Source organism: Homo sapiens, chromosome 12 (assembly GCF_000001405.40).
Source record: "Homo sapiens chromosome 12, GRCh38.p14 Primary Assembly".
In the NCBI taxonomy this organism is placed as follows: Eukaryota; Metazoa; Chordata; class Mammalia; order Primates; family Hominidae; genus Homo; species Homo sapiens.
This window is the reverse complement of record NC_000012.12, coordinates 8,800,504-8,812,974: the sequence shown is the minus strand read 5'-3', so window position 1 is coordinate 8,812,974 and position 12,471 is coordinate 8,800,504. Positions and strand designations below refer to the sequence as shown.

Sequence of the window (12,471 nt, the reverse complement as noted above, 5' to 3'; positions counted from 1 at the left end):
TTGTATATATATACATATATATAATACATAATATATGTATTATATAATTTATATAATACAAAATATGTGTATTATATAATGTATTATATAATACACATATATGTATTATATATGTATAATACATATATGTGTATTATATATGTATAATACACATCATATATAATATATATAATATTATATGACACATATATATAATATATGTGTATTATATATGTATATATAACACATATATAATGTATTATATAATACAATATATAATGTATTATACAATGTATTATATAATATATAGTGTATTATATAATACATATATAATGTATTACATAATACATATATAATGTATTATATATGTGTATTATATAATACATTATATATGTATTATGTAATGTATTATATAATACATAATATATACTACATATATAATACTATATACATATAATATTATACACATATATGTATATAGTTTGTATATGTGTATACAGTTTGCTTGTTTTTTATTGGAAGAAACCTGACTGTGCAAACCTTCAGCATGTTAGACACTATAGGAACCATATGTGAAGGTGTTTTCTTTGACTTCAAGGGAAACATTTCAGAACGTAAGATATTCACATATGAAAAGTCCAGTAACAAAATACTAAAGAAATGCTACTTAATAACATATGACTGAGTCCCTAATATGTGCTACTGATGATAAATATGACTCATTTTCAAAGACTATAAGCTGGGTTACAGTTGTCAGAAAAAGTTTAATGGCATGTAAATCAGCAAGCAACTGAGAAGTTTCAGGGACCCTCTTTCATCCAGATGTTTCTTATTCTTTATCCTTCTTACTCTTCTAACTTTAAATCCTTCTTACTCTTGTAACTTTAAATCTTTCAAAGAAACAGAAATCTCTCTTTCTTCTTTGAAGGACAGGGTCCTTCTCCCTTAGTCCTAGCCGTATCATTTCCTCTCTGAGACACTGCCTTGTCTATACTAAGCCATTTTTCTGATTTTTCTGAATTAGATGGTATTATTTTGGGGGATGGGAGAGAGGAGGAGAAGTAGTAGAACAGATGGAAGTGCTTCCTGTAAAGTATAAACTGTTTCAGAAAAAGAAATCTTTTTTTTTTTTAAATGAGACAGAGTCTCGCTGTGTCGCCCAGGCTGGAGTGCAGTGGCGGGATCTCAGCTCACTGCCAGCTCCGCCTCCCGGGTTTTCCTGCCTCAGCCTCCTGAGTAGCTGGGACTACAGGCGCCCGCCACTGCGCCCGGCTAATTTTTTGTATTTTTTAGTACAGACGGAGTTTCACCGTGTTAGCCAGGATGGTCTTGATCTCCTGACCTTGTGATCCGCCCTCCTGGGCCTCCCAAAGTGCTGGGATTACAGGCGTGAGCCACCGCACCCAGCCAGAAAAAGAAATCTATGAAAGGGTTGATGGGAGAAAGGAACAAAAGGTTTCCTTAAAATTCAGCAATATCTGGCACATAGTAAGCATTCAATACATTTTTGTTGACTGCCTTAAAAGAATAAGTGGGAAATAAATTTTTCAAAACTAGATATTTAGATAAAGCTACATAATATCACCAATCACTATCTTTTTCCTGTGGTAATAAGATGTTAGATTTACTAGACAAATATTTTATTTTATTTTTTTCTTTCTTTTTTTTTTTTCTTGAGACAGAGTCTTGCCCTGTCACCCAGGCTGGAGTGCAATGGCAAGATCTCAGCTCACTGCAACCTCCACCTCCCAGGTTCAAGCGATTCTCCTGCCTCAGCCTCTCAAGTACCTGGGATTACAATGGTTTAATCTCAGCTCACTGCAACCTCTGCCTCTTGGGTTCAAGCGATTCTCCTGCCTCAGCTTCCTGAGTAGCTGGGATTACAGGCGCACAACCACCATGCCTGGCTAATTTTGTATTTTTAATAGAGACAGGGTTTCTCCATGTTGGTCAGGCTGGTCTCGAACACCCGACCTCAGGTGATCTGTCTGCCTCGGCCTTCCAAAATGCTAGGATTACAGGTGTGAGCCACTGATCACGAGGTCAGGAGTTTGAGACCAGCCTGGCCAAGATGGTGAAACCCCGTCTCTACTAAAAAATACAAAAATTAGCTGGGCACGGTGCAGGCGCCTGTAATCCCAGCTACTCAGGAGGCTGAGGCAGGAGAATCATTTGAACCTGGGAGGCAGAGATTGCAGTGAGCCGAGATGGTGCCACTGCCCTCTAGTCTGGGCAACAGAGCAAGGCTCCGTCTCAAGAAAAAAAAAAAAGATAGGGATCAAGCGACTTGAACTATGAGAAGCAGGACCTGATATTAAGTTTAGCTTGAAATACTCCAAAAACATGATTTCAAAGGGCAAACATGTCGAACAGAAGAATTTCAGGAGTTTAGATGTGTACTTGGAAAATACTATTCCTTTCATGCGCGTCCGTGTGAAGAGACCACCAAACAGGCTTTGTGTGAGCAATAAAGCTTTTAATCACCTGGGTGCAGGTGGGCTGAGTCCGAAGAGAGTCAGCAAAGGGAGATAGGGGTGGGGCCGTTTTATAGGATTTGGGTAGGTAAAGGAAAATTACAGTCAAAGGGCAGTTGTTCTCTGGCGGGCAGAGTGGGGGTCACAAGGTGCTCAGTAGGGGAGCCTTTGAGCCAGGATGAGCCAGGAGAAGGAATTTCACAAGACAATGTCATCAGTTAAGGCAGGAACAGGCCATTTTCATTTCTTTTGTGGTGGAATGTCATCAGTTAAAGCAGGAACCCGTCATCTGGATGTGTACGTGCAGGCCACAGGGGATACGGTGGCTTAGCTTGGGCTCAGAGGCCTGACATTCCTGTCTTATATTAATAAGAAAAATAAAACGAAATAGTGGTAAAGTGTTGGGATGATGAAAATTTTGGATGAGGGTATGGAGAGATAATGGGCGATGTTTCTCAGGGCTGCTTCGTGCGGGATTGGGGCGGCGTGGGAACCTAAAGTGGGAGCGATTAAGCTGAAGGGAGATTTTGTGGTAAGGGGTGATATTGTGGGATTGTTAGAAGAAACATTTGTCATTTAGAATTATTGGTGATGGCCTGGATACAGTTTTGTATGAATTGAAAAACTAAATGGAATAAAAGAAGGAGAAAAACAGGTATTAAAGGACTAAGAATTGGGAGGACCTAGGACATCTCATTAGAGAGTGCCTAAGAAGGTTCAGCATAGCCTTGCCAGCAAAGATTATTTATTTACTTTAAGAGTTAAGAGTGGCGGTTTGGGGATAGCACCAGGAGATATCAGCTGTGATGGCTTGGAGAAACAGTGTAAACTGGCAGTGTAAACAAGAGCAGGGCATGTATGAGTAGTTGAGAACGCTGAATAAGAGTATGACTAGACAGAAGATAGTAGGGATGACAGGTTTTTGGGGGCACAGTCTAAGTTGGTCTGGTGTCTGGAAGGAGACTGGGGCCTAATAAAAAGGAGCGTCTATACAGGAGCTTAAATGGGCTGTACCTTGTAGCATTCTGAGGACAGGCCTGAATTCTGAGAAGCGAAAGTGGTAAAAGTATTGTCCAGTCCTTTTTGAGTTGGTGGCTGAGCTTCGTGAGGTGTGTTTTTAATAGACCATTAGTCTGTCACTGGATACTAAGAGCCTGAAAAAAGGCTTGGCTGATTTGACTAATAAAGGCTCGTCTGTTATCAGACTGTATTGAGGTGGGAAGGCTAAACTGAAGAATTATGTCTGACAGAAGGGAAGAAATGACTGTGGTGGCCTTCTCAGACCCTGTAGGAAAGGACTCTGCTTATCCAGTGAAAGTGTCTACCTAGACTAAGAGGCATTTTAGTTATCTTACTCGGGGCATGTTGAGTAAAGCTAATTTGCCAGTCCTGGGTGGGGGCAAATCCTTGAGCTTGATGTGTAGGGAAGGGAGGGGGCCTGAATAATCCCTGAGGAGTAGTAGAATAGCAGATGGAACACTGAGAAGTTATTTCTTTGAGGATAGATTTCCACAATGGAAAGGAAATGAGAGGTTCTAAGAGGCGGGCTAGTGGCTTGTACTATAGCATAGCCTGCCTTTGCTGGTGTGTGGCGATTAGGCCTGGTGGAACCGCCATCAATAAACTAAGTGTGATCAGGGTGAGAAACAGGGAAGAAGGAAATGTGGGGAAATGGGGTGAACGTCAGGTGGATCAGAGAGATGCAGTCATGGGGGTCAGGTGTGGTATCAGGAATAATGTGGGAGGCCGGACTGAAGTCCGGGCCAGGAACAATGGTAATTGTGGGACTTAACAAAGAGTAAGCACAGCTGAAGGAGCCCGGGAGCAGAAAGTATATGCGTCAGGTGTGGGTCAGAAAATAGATTTTGGAAATTATGAGAGCTGTAGAGAGTGAGTTGAGCATAGTTTGTGATTTTGAGGGCCTCTAAAAGTATTAAAGCAGCAGCAGCCGCTGCATGCAGACATGAGGGCTAGGCTAAAACAGTAAGGTCAAGTTGTTTGGACAGAAAGGCTACAGGGTGTGGTCCTGTCTCTTGTGTAAGAATTCTGACTGCGCTAACCATGCCTAGGAAGGAAAGGAGTTGTTGTTTTGTAAGGGATTGAAGTTTGGGAGATTAATCGGACATGATCAGCAGGGAGAGCACGTGTGTTTTTATGAGAATTATGCCGAGATAGGTAACAGATGAGGATGAAATTTGGGCTTGACTGAAGTAATGGGGGCTGTCTACTAAGCCTTGCAGCAGTACAGCCTAGGTAATTTGCTGAGCCTAATGGGTGTCAGGGTCAGTCTAAGTGAAAGCGAAGAGAGGCTGGGACGAGAGGTGCAGGGGAATAGTGAAAAAAGCATCTTTAAGATCAAGCACGGAACAGTGAGTTGTGGAGGAAGGTATTGAGGACAAAAGAGTGTACGGGTTGGGCAGCACAGGGTGGATAGGCAAAACAATTTGGCTGATAAGGCGCAGATCCTGAACTAATCTGTAAGACTTGTCCAGTTTTCGGACAGGTAAAATGGGGGAATTGTAAGGAGAGTTTATAGGTTTTAGAAGCCCATGCTGTAGCAGGCGAGTGATAACAGGCTTTAATCCTTTTAAAGCGTGCTGTGGGATGGGATATTGGCGTTGAGCGGGGTAAGGGTGATTAGGTTTTAATGAGATGGTAACGGCCATGTGATCGGTTGCCAGGGAAGTAGAGATGTCCCATACTTGTGGGTTAAGGTGGGGGGATATGAGAGGAAGACGCGAAGGAGGCTTTGGGTTGGGGAGAGGGGCAGCAATGAGATGTGGCTGTAGCCCAGGAATAGTCAGGGAAGCAGATAATTTGGTTAAAATATCTTGGCCTAATAAGGGAACTGGGCAGGTGGGGATAACTAAAAAAGAGTGCATAAGAGTGTTGTCCTAGTTGGCACCAGAGTGGGGGAGTTTTCAGGGGTTTAGAAGCCTGGCCGTCAATACCCACAACAGTTATGGAGGCAAGGGAAACAGGCCCTTGAAAAGAAGGTAATGTGGAGTGGGTAGCCTCCGTATTGACTAAGGGGACAGACTTAACTTCCACTGTGAGAGTTACCCGAAGCTCGGCATCCGTGATGGTCTACGGAGCTTCCGAGGCAATCGGGCAGCGTCAGTCTTCAGCTGCTAAGCCGAGAAGGAGTCAGTCAGACAGCCTTGGGCCAGAGTTCCAGGGGCTCTGGGAGCGGCTGCCAGGTGAGTTGAACAGTCTGATTTCCAATGGGGTCCTGCACAGATGGGACACGGCTTAGGAGGAATCCTGGGCTGCAGGCATTCCTTGGCCTGGTGGTCAGATTTCTGGCACTTGTACAAGCTCCTGCCGGAGGAGGTTCTGGAGGAATGCCTGGACACTGTGGTTCAGGCATTTGGAAGTTCTTGTGTGCTGGAGATGTGGCTGGGGTTTGTCTCACAGTGGAGGCAAAGAATTGCAACTTTTTTCTATTATTGTACACCTTGAAGGCAAGGTTAATTAAATCCTGTTGTGGGGTTTGAGGGCTGGAATTTAATTTTTGGAGTTTTATTTAATGTCGGGAGCAGATTGGGTAATAAAATGTATATTGAGAATAAGACGGCCTTTTGACCTTTTAGGGTCTAGGGCTGTAAAGCGTCTCAGGGTTGCTGCTGAACGAGCCATGAACTGGGCTGAGTTTTTATATTTGATGAAAAAGAGCCTAAACACTATCTGATTTGGGATAAAGAAAATGGCGCATTAACCTTGACTATATGCCTTTAGCTCCAGCCACCTTTTTAAGAGTAAATTTCTGGGCAGGTGGGGGAGGGCTAGTCATGGAACGAAACTGTAAGCCGGACCAGGTGTGAGGAGGGGAGGTGATAAAAGGATTATAGGGTGGAGGAGCAGAGGCTGAGCAAGAATTGGGACCTAGCTCGGCCTGGCGAGGAGCAGCCTGGGGAGGAAGGGAGAGGTCAGATGGGTCTGTAGAAAAGGAAGATTAGAAAGACTCAGCGACACTTGGGATTGGTACTGAGGGGACAGGCAGGAGGGAAAGAAGGAAGATTTGGGACAAGTTGCACTGGGCACAGAGACTAGGGAGGGACTGATGTGTAAAACAATGCCTGGTTGTCAGGCACCTCAGACCGTTTGCCCATTTTATGACAAGAATTATTTAGATCTTGCAGGATGGAAAAATTGAAAGTGCCGTTTTCCGGCTGTTTGGAACTACTATTGAGTTTGTATTGGGGTCAAGCAGCATTGCAGAAGAAAATAAGGCATTTAGGTTTTAGGTCAGGTGTGAGTTGAAGAGGTTTTAAGTCTTTGAGAACACAGGCCAAGGCAGAAGAAGGAGGAAAGGAGGGTGGAAGGTTGCCCATAGTGAAGGAAGCAAGCCTAGAGAAAAGGGAGAGTAGAGACATGGAGGGAAGGGGTTCGGGGGTTCTTACCTTCCAGAAAAGTGGGAAAGGGGTTGGGGCACAGATATAAGGGGTTGGGGCACAGAGATAAGAGGTTGGGGCATGGAAATAAGGGGTGGGGCACAGAGATAAGAGGTCGGGGCATGGAAATAAGGGGTTGGGGCACAGAGATAAGAGGTCGGGGCACGGAAATAAGGGATTGGGGCGCAGAGATATAAGAGGTTGGGCCACGGAAATAAGGGATTGGGGCGCAGAGATACAAGGTTGGGGTACTTGCCCCTCCTCTACAAAAGCGGGACTTGCCACTAAGAGTGAAGGAGAAGGGGTTGGGGGTTTCTTGCCCCCCAGAAAGGTGGAGAAGGGGTAGAGACACGGAGAGAAATGGTTGGGGTACTTGCCCCTTCCCCAGAAAAGCGGGACTTGCCGCTAAGGGTGAAGGACCAATGCAGGCGTCCCTCCTGCATTGACACCTCTGAAACGTGTGTAAATAATCAGAGAGGTGTCCCTGCAATGACTAAACACCAAGGGAAGGCTGCCTTCCCTAGTCCGTGACCGGCGCCGGAGTTTTGTGTCCATGGATAAAACGTGTCTCCTTTGTCTTTACCAGAAAATGAAAGGAATTGAAATTAAGAGAAGGGAGAGATTGAAGAGTGGAAAGGAGAAAGTGGTTGAGGGACAGTGAGAGAGGTTGGAGAAGAGAGTAAGAAGAGGCCGCTTACCCGATTTAAAATTGGTGAGATGTTCCTTGGGCTGCTTGGTCTGAGGACCTGAGGTCGTAGGTGGATCTTTTTCACAGAGCAAAGAGCAGGAGGACAGGGGATTGATCTCCCAAGGGAAGTCCCCGGATCTGAGTCACGGCACCAAATTTCATGCACGTCCATGTGAAGAGACCACCAAACAGGCTTTGTGTGAGCAATAAAGCTTTTAATCACCTGGGTGCAGGTGGGCTGAGTCCGAAAAGAGAGTCAGTGAAGGGAGATAGGGGTGGGGCCGTTTTATAGGATTTGGGTAGGTAAAGGAAAATTACTGTCAAAGGGGAGTTGTTCTCTGGCGGGCATAATGGGGGTCACAAGGTGCTCAGTAGGGGAGCTTTTGAGCCAGGGTGAGCCAGGAGAAGGAATTTCATAAGACAATGTTATCAGTTAAGGCAGGAACAGGCCATTTTCACTTCTTTTGTGGTGGAATGTCATCAGTTAAGGCAGGAACAAGCCACCTGGATGTGTAGGTCACAGGGGATATGATAGCTTAGCTTGGGCTCAGAGGCCTGACAGTTTGTATATATATACATATATATAATATATATAATACTATATACATATAATATTATACACATATATGTATATAGTTTGTATATGTGTATATAGTTTGCTTGTTTTTTTATCAGAAGAAACCTGACTGTGCAAACCTTCAGCATGTTAGACACTATAGGAACCATATGTGAAGGTGTTTTCTTTGACTTCAAGGGAAACATTTCAGAACGTAAGATATTCACATATGAAAAGTCCAGTAACAAAATACTAAAGAAATGCTACTTAATAACATATGACTGAGTCCCTAATATGTGCTACTGATGATAAATATGACTCATTTTCAAAGACTATAAGCTGGGTTACAGTTGTCAGAAAAAGTTTAATGGCATGTAAATCAGCAAGCAACTGAGAAGTTTCAGGGACCCTCTTTCATCCAGATGTTTCTTATGCTTTTATTCTTCTTACTCTTCTAACTTTAAATCCTCTGACTCTTCTAACTTTAAATCTTTCAAAGAAACAGAAATCTCTCTTTCTTCTTTGAAGGACAGGGTCCTTCTCCTTTAGTCCTAGCCATATCATTTCTTCTATGAGACACTGCCTTGTCTATACTAAGCCATTTTTCTGATTTTTCTGAATTAGATGGTATTATTTTGGGGGATGGGAGAGAGGAGGAGAAGTAGTAGAACAGATGGAAGTGCTTCCTGTAAAGTATAAAGTGTTTCAGAAAGAGAAATCTTTTTTTTTTTTTTAAATGAGACAGAGTCTCGCTGTGTCGCCCAGGCTGGAGTGCAGTGGCGCGATCTCAGCTCACTGAAAGCTCCGCCTCCCGGGTTCACGCCGTTCTCCTGCCTCAGCCTCCTGAGTAGCTGGGACTACAGGCGCCTGCTGCCACCCCCAGCTGATTTTTTTTTTTTTTTGTAGTAGAGATGGGGTTTCACCGTGTTACCCAGGATGGTCTCGATCTCCTGACCTCGTGATCTGCCCGCTTCGGCCTCCCAAAGTGCTGGGATTACAGGCATGAGCCACTGAGCCCGGCCCACAGTGGCTTTTTCAGCAAAATGTTCTTTTTCTTTTCTAGAAATCAGGATACATGGACACATGTTCTGCTATGCAGCTCTGTACTTTTTTAGGAAAACAAATAACTTGTGCTCTTCTGAAAATACCAAAAATACTAATTTCATATAATGTAGGGTTCTTTTGCAGGCTACTTGAAAATGTCTATGAAAGCACAGGAAACAGCATCACTTGATACTGACATAATGATGTATTATTGTTGTAGGTGTGATCTAAGTCCTGTGCTCCGTTTTTTAGGTTTTGCTATATCCTACAAATATTCTCTCCTGAATTTATCTTTTTGTTTTATTATTTAGTTTTTATTTCATAATCATAAACTTAACTCTGCAATCTGTTGGGAACAGGCCCCAAAATCTGGCCATAAAATGGCCCCAAAACTGGCCATAAACAAAATCTCTGCAGCGTCGTGACATGCTTGTGATGGCCTTGACACCCATGCTGGAAAGTCATCAGTTTACCAGGATGAGGGCAAGGAACACCTGGCCCACCCAGGGTGGAAAACCGTTTAAGGTATTCTTAAACCACTAACAATAGCATGAGAGATCTGTGCCTTAAGCATATGTTCACGCTGTGGATAACTAGCCAGGCTCATCCCTTTATTTCGGCCCATCCCTTCATTTTCCATGAGGAATACTTTTAGTAAATCTTATGACTGGCTTGCTGTCAATAAATATGTGGGTAAATCTCCGTTTAAGGCTCTTGGCTCTGAAGGCTGTGAGATCCCGGATTTCCCACTCCACACTCTATATTTCTGTGTGTGTGTGTCTTTAATTCCTCTAGCACCGTTGGGTTAGGGTCTCCACGACCAAGCTGGTCTCGGCAGCAATCCAGCTAGGCATGGATGGGAATAAGGAACATATGGAACCCAAAGGGAACTGCAGCGAGAGCACAAAGATTCTAGGATACTGCGACCAAATGTGGTGGAGGGTGCTTTCCAGAGCGGCAGAAGGAATGCTCCGGTGATTAAGATAAAAAAAAAAAGTCAAACTTTAATTAGAGTTGTCCACAGTCAGTGATCTTCTTGCTGGTCTTGCCATTCCTGGACCCAAAGTGCTCCATGGCCTAGGGTTATTAAAGACTATTGTGCAAATAATAGACTTGGTGGGTCTTACTTATTGCTTGACTTCATGGCAAATGCCCTTAACTGGGAAATCTGCTCTGGGGATAACATAATATGTTTATGTTATCAAGAGTTAGTTCTGTTCAACCCAGACTAGGAGCATTATATTTCATGCTTTCTGGCAGAGATGCTTTACATGAAGTGATCTAGAATTACTCTGCTTACACAAACACTGAATTTTTTTTTTTTTTTGAGACAGTTTTGCTCTTGTTGCCCAGGCTGGAGTGCAATGGCATGATCTCAGCTCACAGCAACCTCCGCCTCATAGGTTCAAGCGATTCTCCTGCCTCAGCCTCCTTAGTAGCTGGGATTACAGGTGCCCAACCATGCCCAGCTAATTTTTTGTATTTTTAGTAGAGACAGGGTTTTACTATGTTGGCCAGGCTGGTCTCGAACTCCTGACCTCAGGCGATCCACCTGCCTCGGCCTCCCAAAGTGCTGGGATTACAGGCATGAGCCACTGTGCCTGGCCCACATACACTGAATATATAAATATTTATGAAATATTTATGATCTGTGCCCAATAAATACATATTGTTTTTGACTGGCTGATCTTGGTGTGTATTTTCACTTGAATGGGTTTTCCTGTAGAATTAGGTATAAAGTGGGGAATATAATGAAATAAAAATTGCTTTGGAAATATTGAATTGGCAGACTTTATGCTTCCGTTATGATCTCATATTCTAATTATACCAAAAATGGATTTTGATTACAGTCCCCAAGTGTGTGTTCAAATATTCAATTGATTTTTATTGAACTGGTACAAATGACTTTTCTTTTTGATACGTTATACTCCCTAGACGTTAATTAGATTTGGCAATTCTTTAATCCTACTACATCCCTACGATGGTGCAACTATCCTTCACTAGATCTAGTGTCACTCAGGTCAATCCATAACTTCTACTGGTTTGTGAAAGCAAGGCATTATTATTATTATTATTATTATTATTATTATTATTATTATTTTATTATACTTTAAGTTCTAGGGTACATGTACACAATGTGCGGATTTGTTACATAGGTATACATGTGCCATGTTGGTTTGCTGCACCCATCAACTCGTCATTTACATTAGGTATTTCTCCTAATGCTATCCCTCCCCCAGCCAACCACCCCACAACAGGCCCCAGTGTGTGATGTTCCCCGCCCTGTATCCATGTGTTCTCATTGTTCAATTCCCACCTATGAGTGAGAACACATGGTGTTTGGTTTTCTGTCCTTGTGATAGTTTGGTTAGAATGATGGTTTCCAGCTTCATCCATGTCCCTGCAAGGGACATGAACTCATCCTTTTTCATGGCTGCATAGTAGTCCATGGTATATATGTGCCAAATTTTCTTTTTTTATTATTATACTTTCAGTTCTAGGGCACATGTGCACAACGTGCAGGTTTGTTACATGTGTACACATGTGCCATGTTGGTGTGCTGCACCCATTAACTCGTCATTTACATTAGGTATATCTCCTAATGCTATCCCTCCCCCCTTCCCCACCCCACGACAGGCCCCGGTGTGTGATGTTCCCCACCCTGTGCCCAAGTGTTCTCATTGTTCAATTCCCACCTATGAGTGAGAACATGCAGTGTTTGGTTTTCTGTCCTTGCAATAGTTTGCTGAGAATGATGGTTTCCAGCTTCATCCATGTCCCTACAAAGGACATGAACTCATCTTTTTATGGCTGCATAGTATTCCATGGTGTATATGTGCCACATTTTCTTAATCCATTCTATCATTGATGGACATTTGGATTGGTTCCAAGTCTTTGCTATTGTGAATAGTGCTGCAATAAACATATGCGTGCATGTGTCTTTATAGCCACATGATTTATAGTCCTTTGGGTACATGCCCAGTAATGGGATGGCTGGGTCAAATGGTATTTCTAGTTCTAGATCCTTGAGGAATCGTCACACTGTCTTCCACAATTGTTGAATTAGTTTACAGTCCCACCAACAGTGTAAAAGTGTTCCTATTTCTCCACATCCTCTCCAGCACCTGTTGTTTCCTGACTTTTTAATGATCGCCATTCTAACTGGTGTGAGATGGTATCTCATTGTGGTTTTGATTTGTATTTCTCTGATGACCAGTGATGATGAGCATTTTTTCATGTGTCTGTTGGCTGCATAAATGTCTTCCTTTGAGAACTGTCTGTTGATATCCTTTGCCCACTTTTTGATGGGGTTGTTTGATTTTTTCTTGTAAATTT

General features: G+C 43.0%; 1 long non-coding RNA gene across 1 annotated transcript in view, besides 4 other annotated features; it reads left to right on the top strand.

Annotated features, from left to right (window-relative positions):
* The window catches only part of A2ML1-AS1 (A2ML1 antisense RNA 1), a 55,096-nt gene that overhangs the window by 18,332 nt on the left and 24,293 nt on the right, over nucleotides 1–12,471 (top strand). The window lies entirely within an intron of this gene.
* Nucleotides 1,435–2,176: an enhancer, noted in NCBI's record as "H3K27ac-H3K4me1 hESC enhancer chr12:8963395-8964136 (GRCh37/hg19 assembly coordinates)". NCBI's record gives its function as "activates a minimal SCP1, AML or CMV promoter by ChIP-STARR-seq in naive H9 embryonic stem cells {active_cell/tissue: H9 hESC(naive)}" and the evidence as "EXISTENCE:reporter gene assay evidence [ECO:0000049][PMID:30033119]".
* Nucleotides 2,177–2,917: an enhancer, noted in NCBI's record as "OCT4-NANOG-H3K27ac-H3K4me1 hESC enhancer chr12:8962654-8963394 (GRCh37/hg19 assembly coordinates)". NCBI's record gives its function as "activates a minimal SCP1, AML or CMV promoter by ChIP-STARR-seq in naive H9 embryonic stem cells {active_cell/tissue: H9 hESC(naive)}" and the evidence as "EXISTENCE:reporter gene assay evidence [ECO:0000049][PMID:30033119]".
* Nucleotides 5,869–6,576: an enhancer, noted in NCBI's record as "H3K27ac hESC enhancer chr12:8958995-8959702 (GRCh37/hg19 assembly coordinates)". NCBI's record gives its function as "activates a minimal SCP1, AML or CMV promoter by ChIP-STARR-seq in primed H9 embryonic stem cells {active_cell/tissue: H9 hESC(primed)}" and the evidence as "EXISTENCE:reporter gene assay evidence [ECO:0000049][PMID:30033119]".
* Nucleotides 7,283–7,990: an enhancer, noted in NCBI's record as "NANOG-H3K27ac-H3K4me1 hESC enhancer chr12:8957581-8958288 (GRCh37/hg19 assembly coordinates)". NCBI's record gives its function as "activates a minimal SCP1, AML or CMV promoter by ChIP-STARR-seq in naive H9 embryonic stem cells {active_cell/tissue: H9 hESC(naive)}" and the evidence as "EXISTENCE:reporter gene assay evidence [ECO:0000049][PMID:30033119]".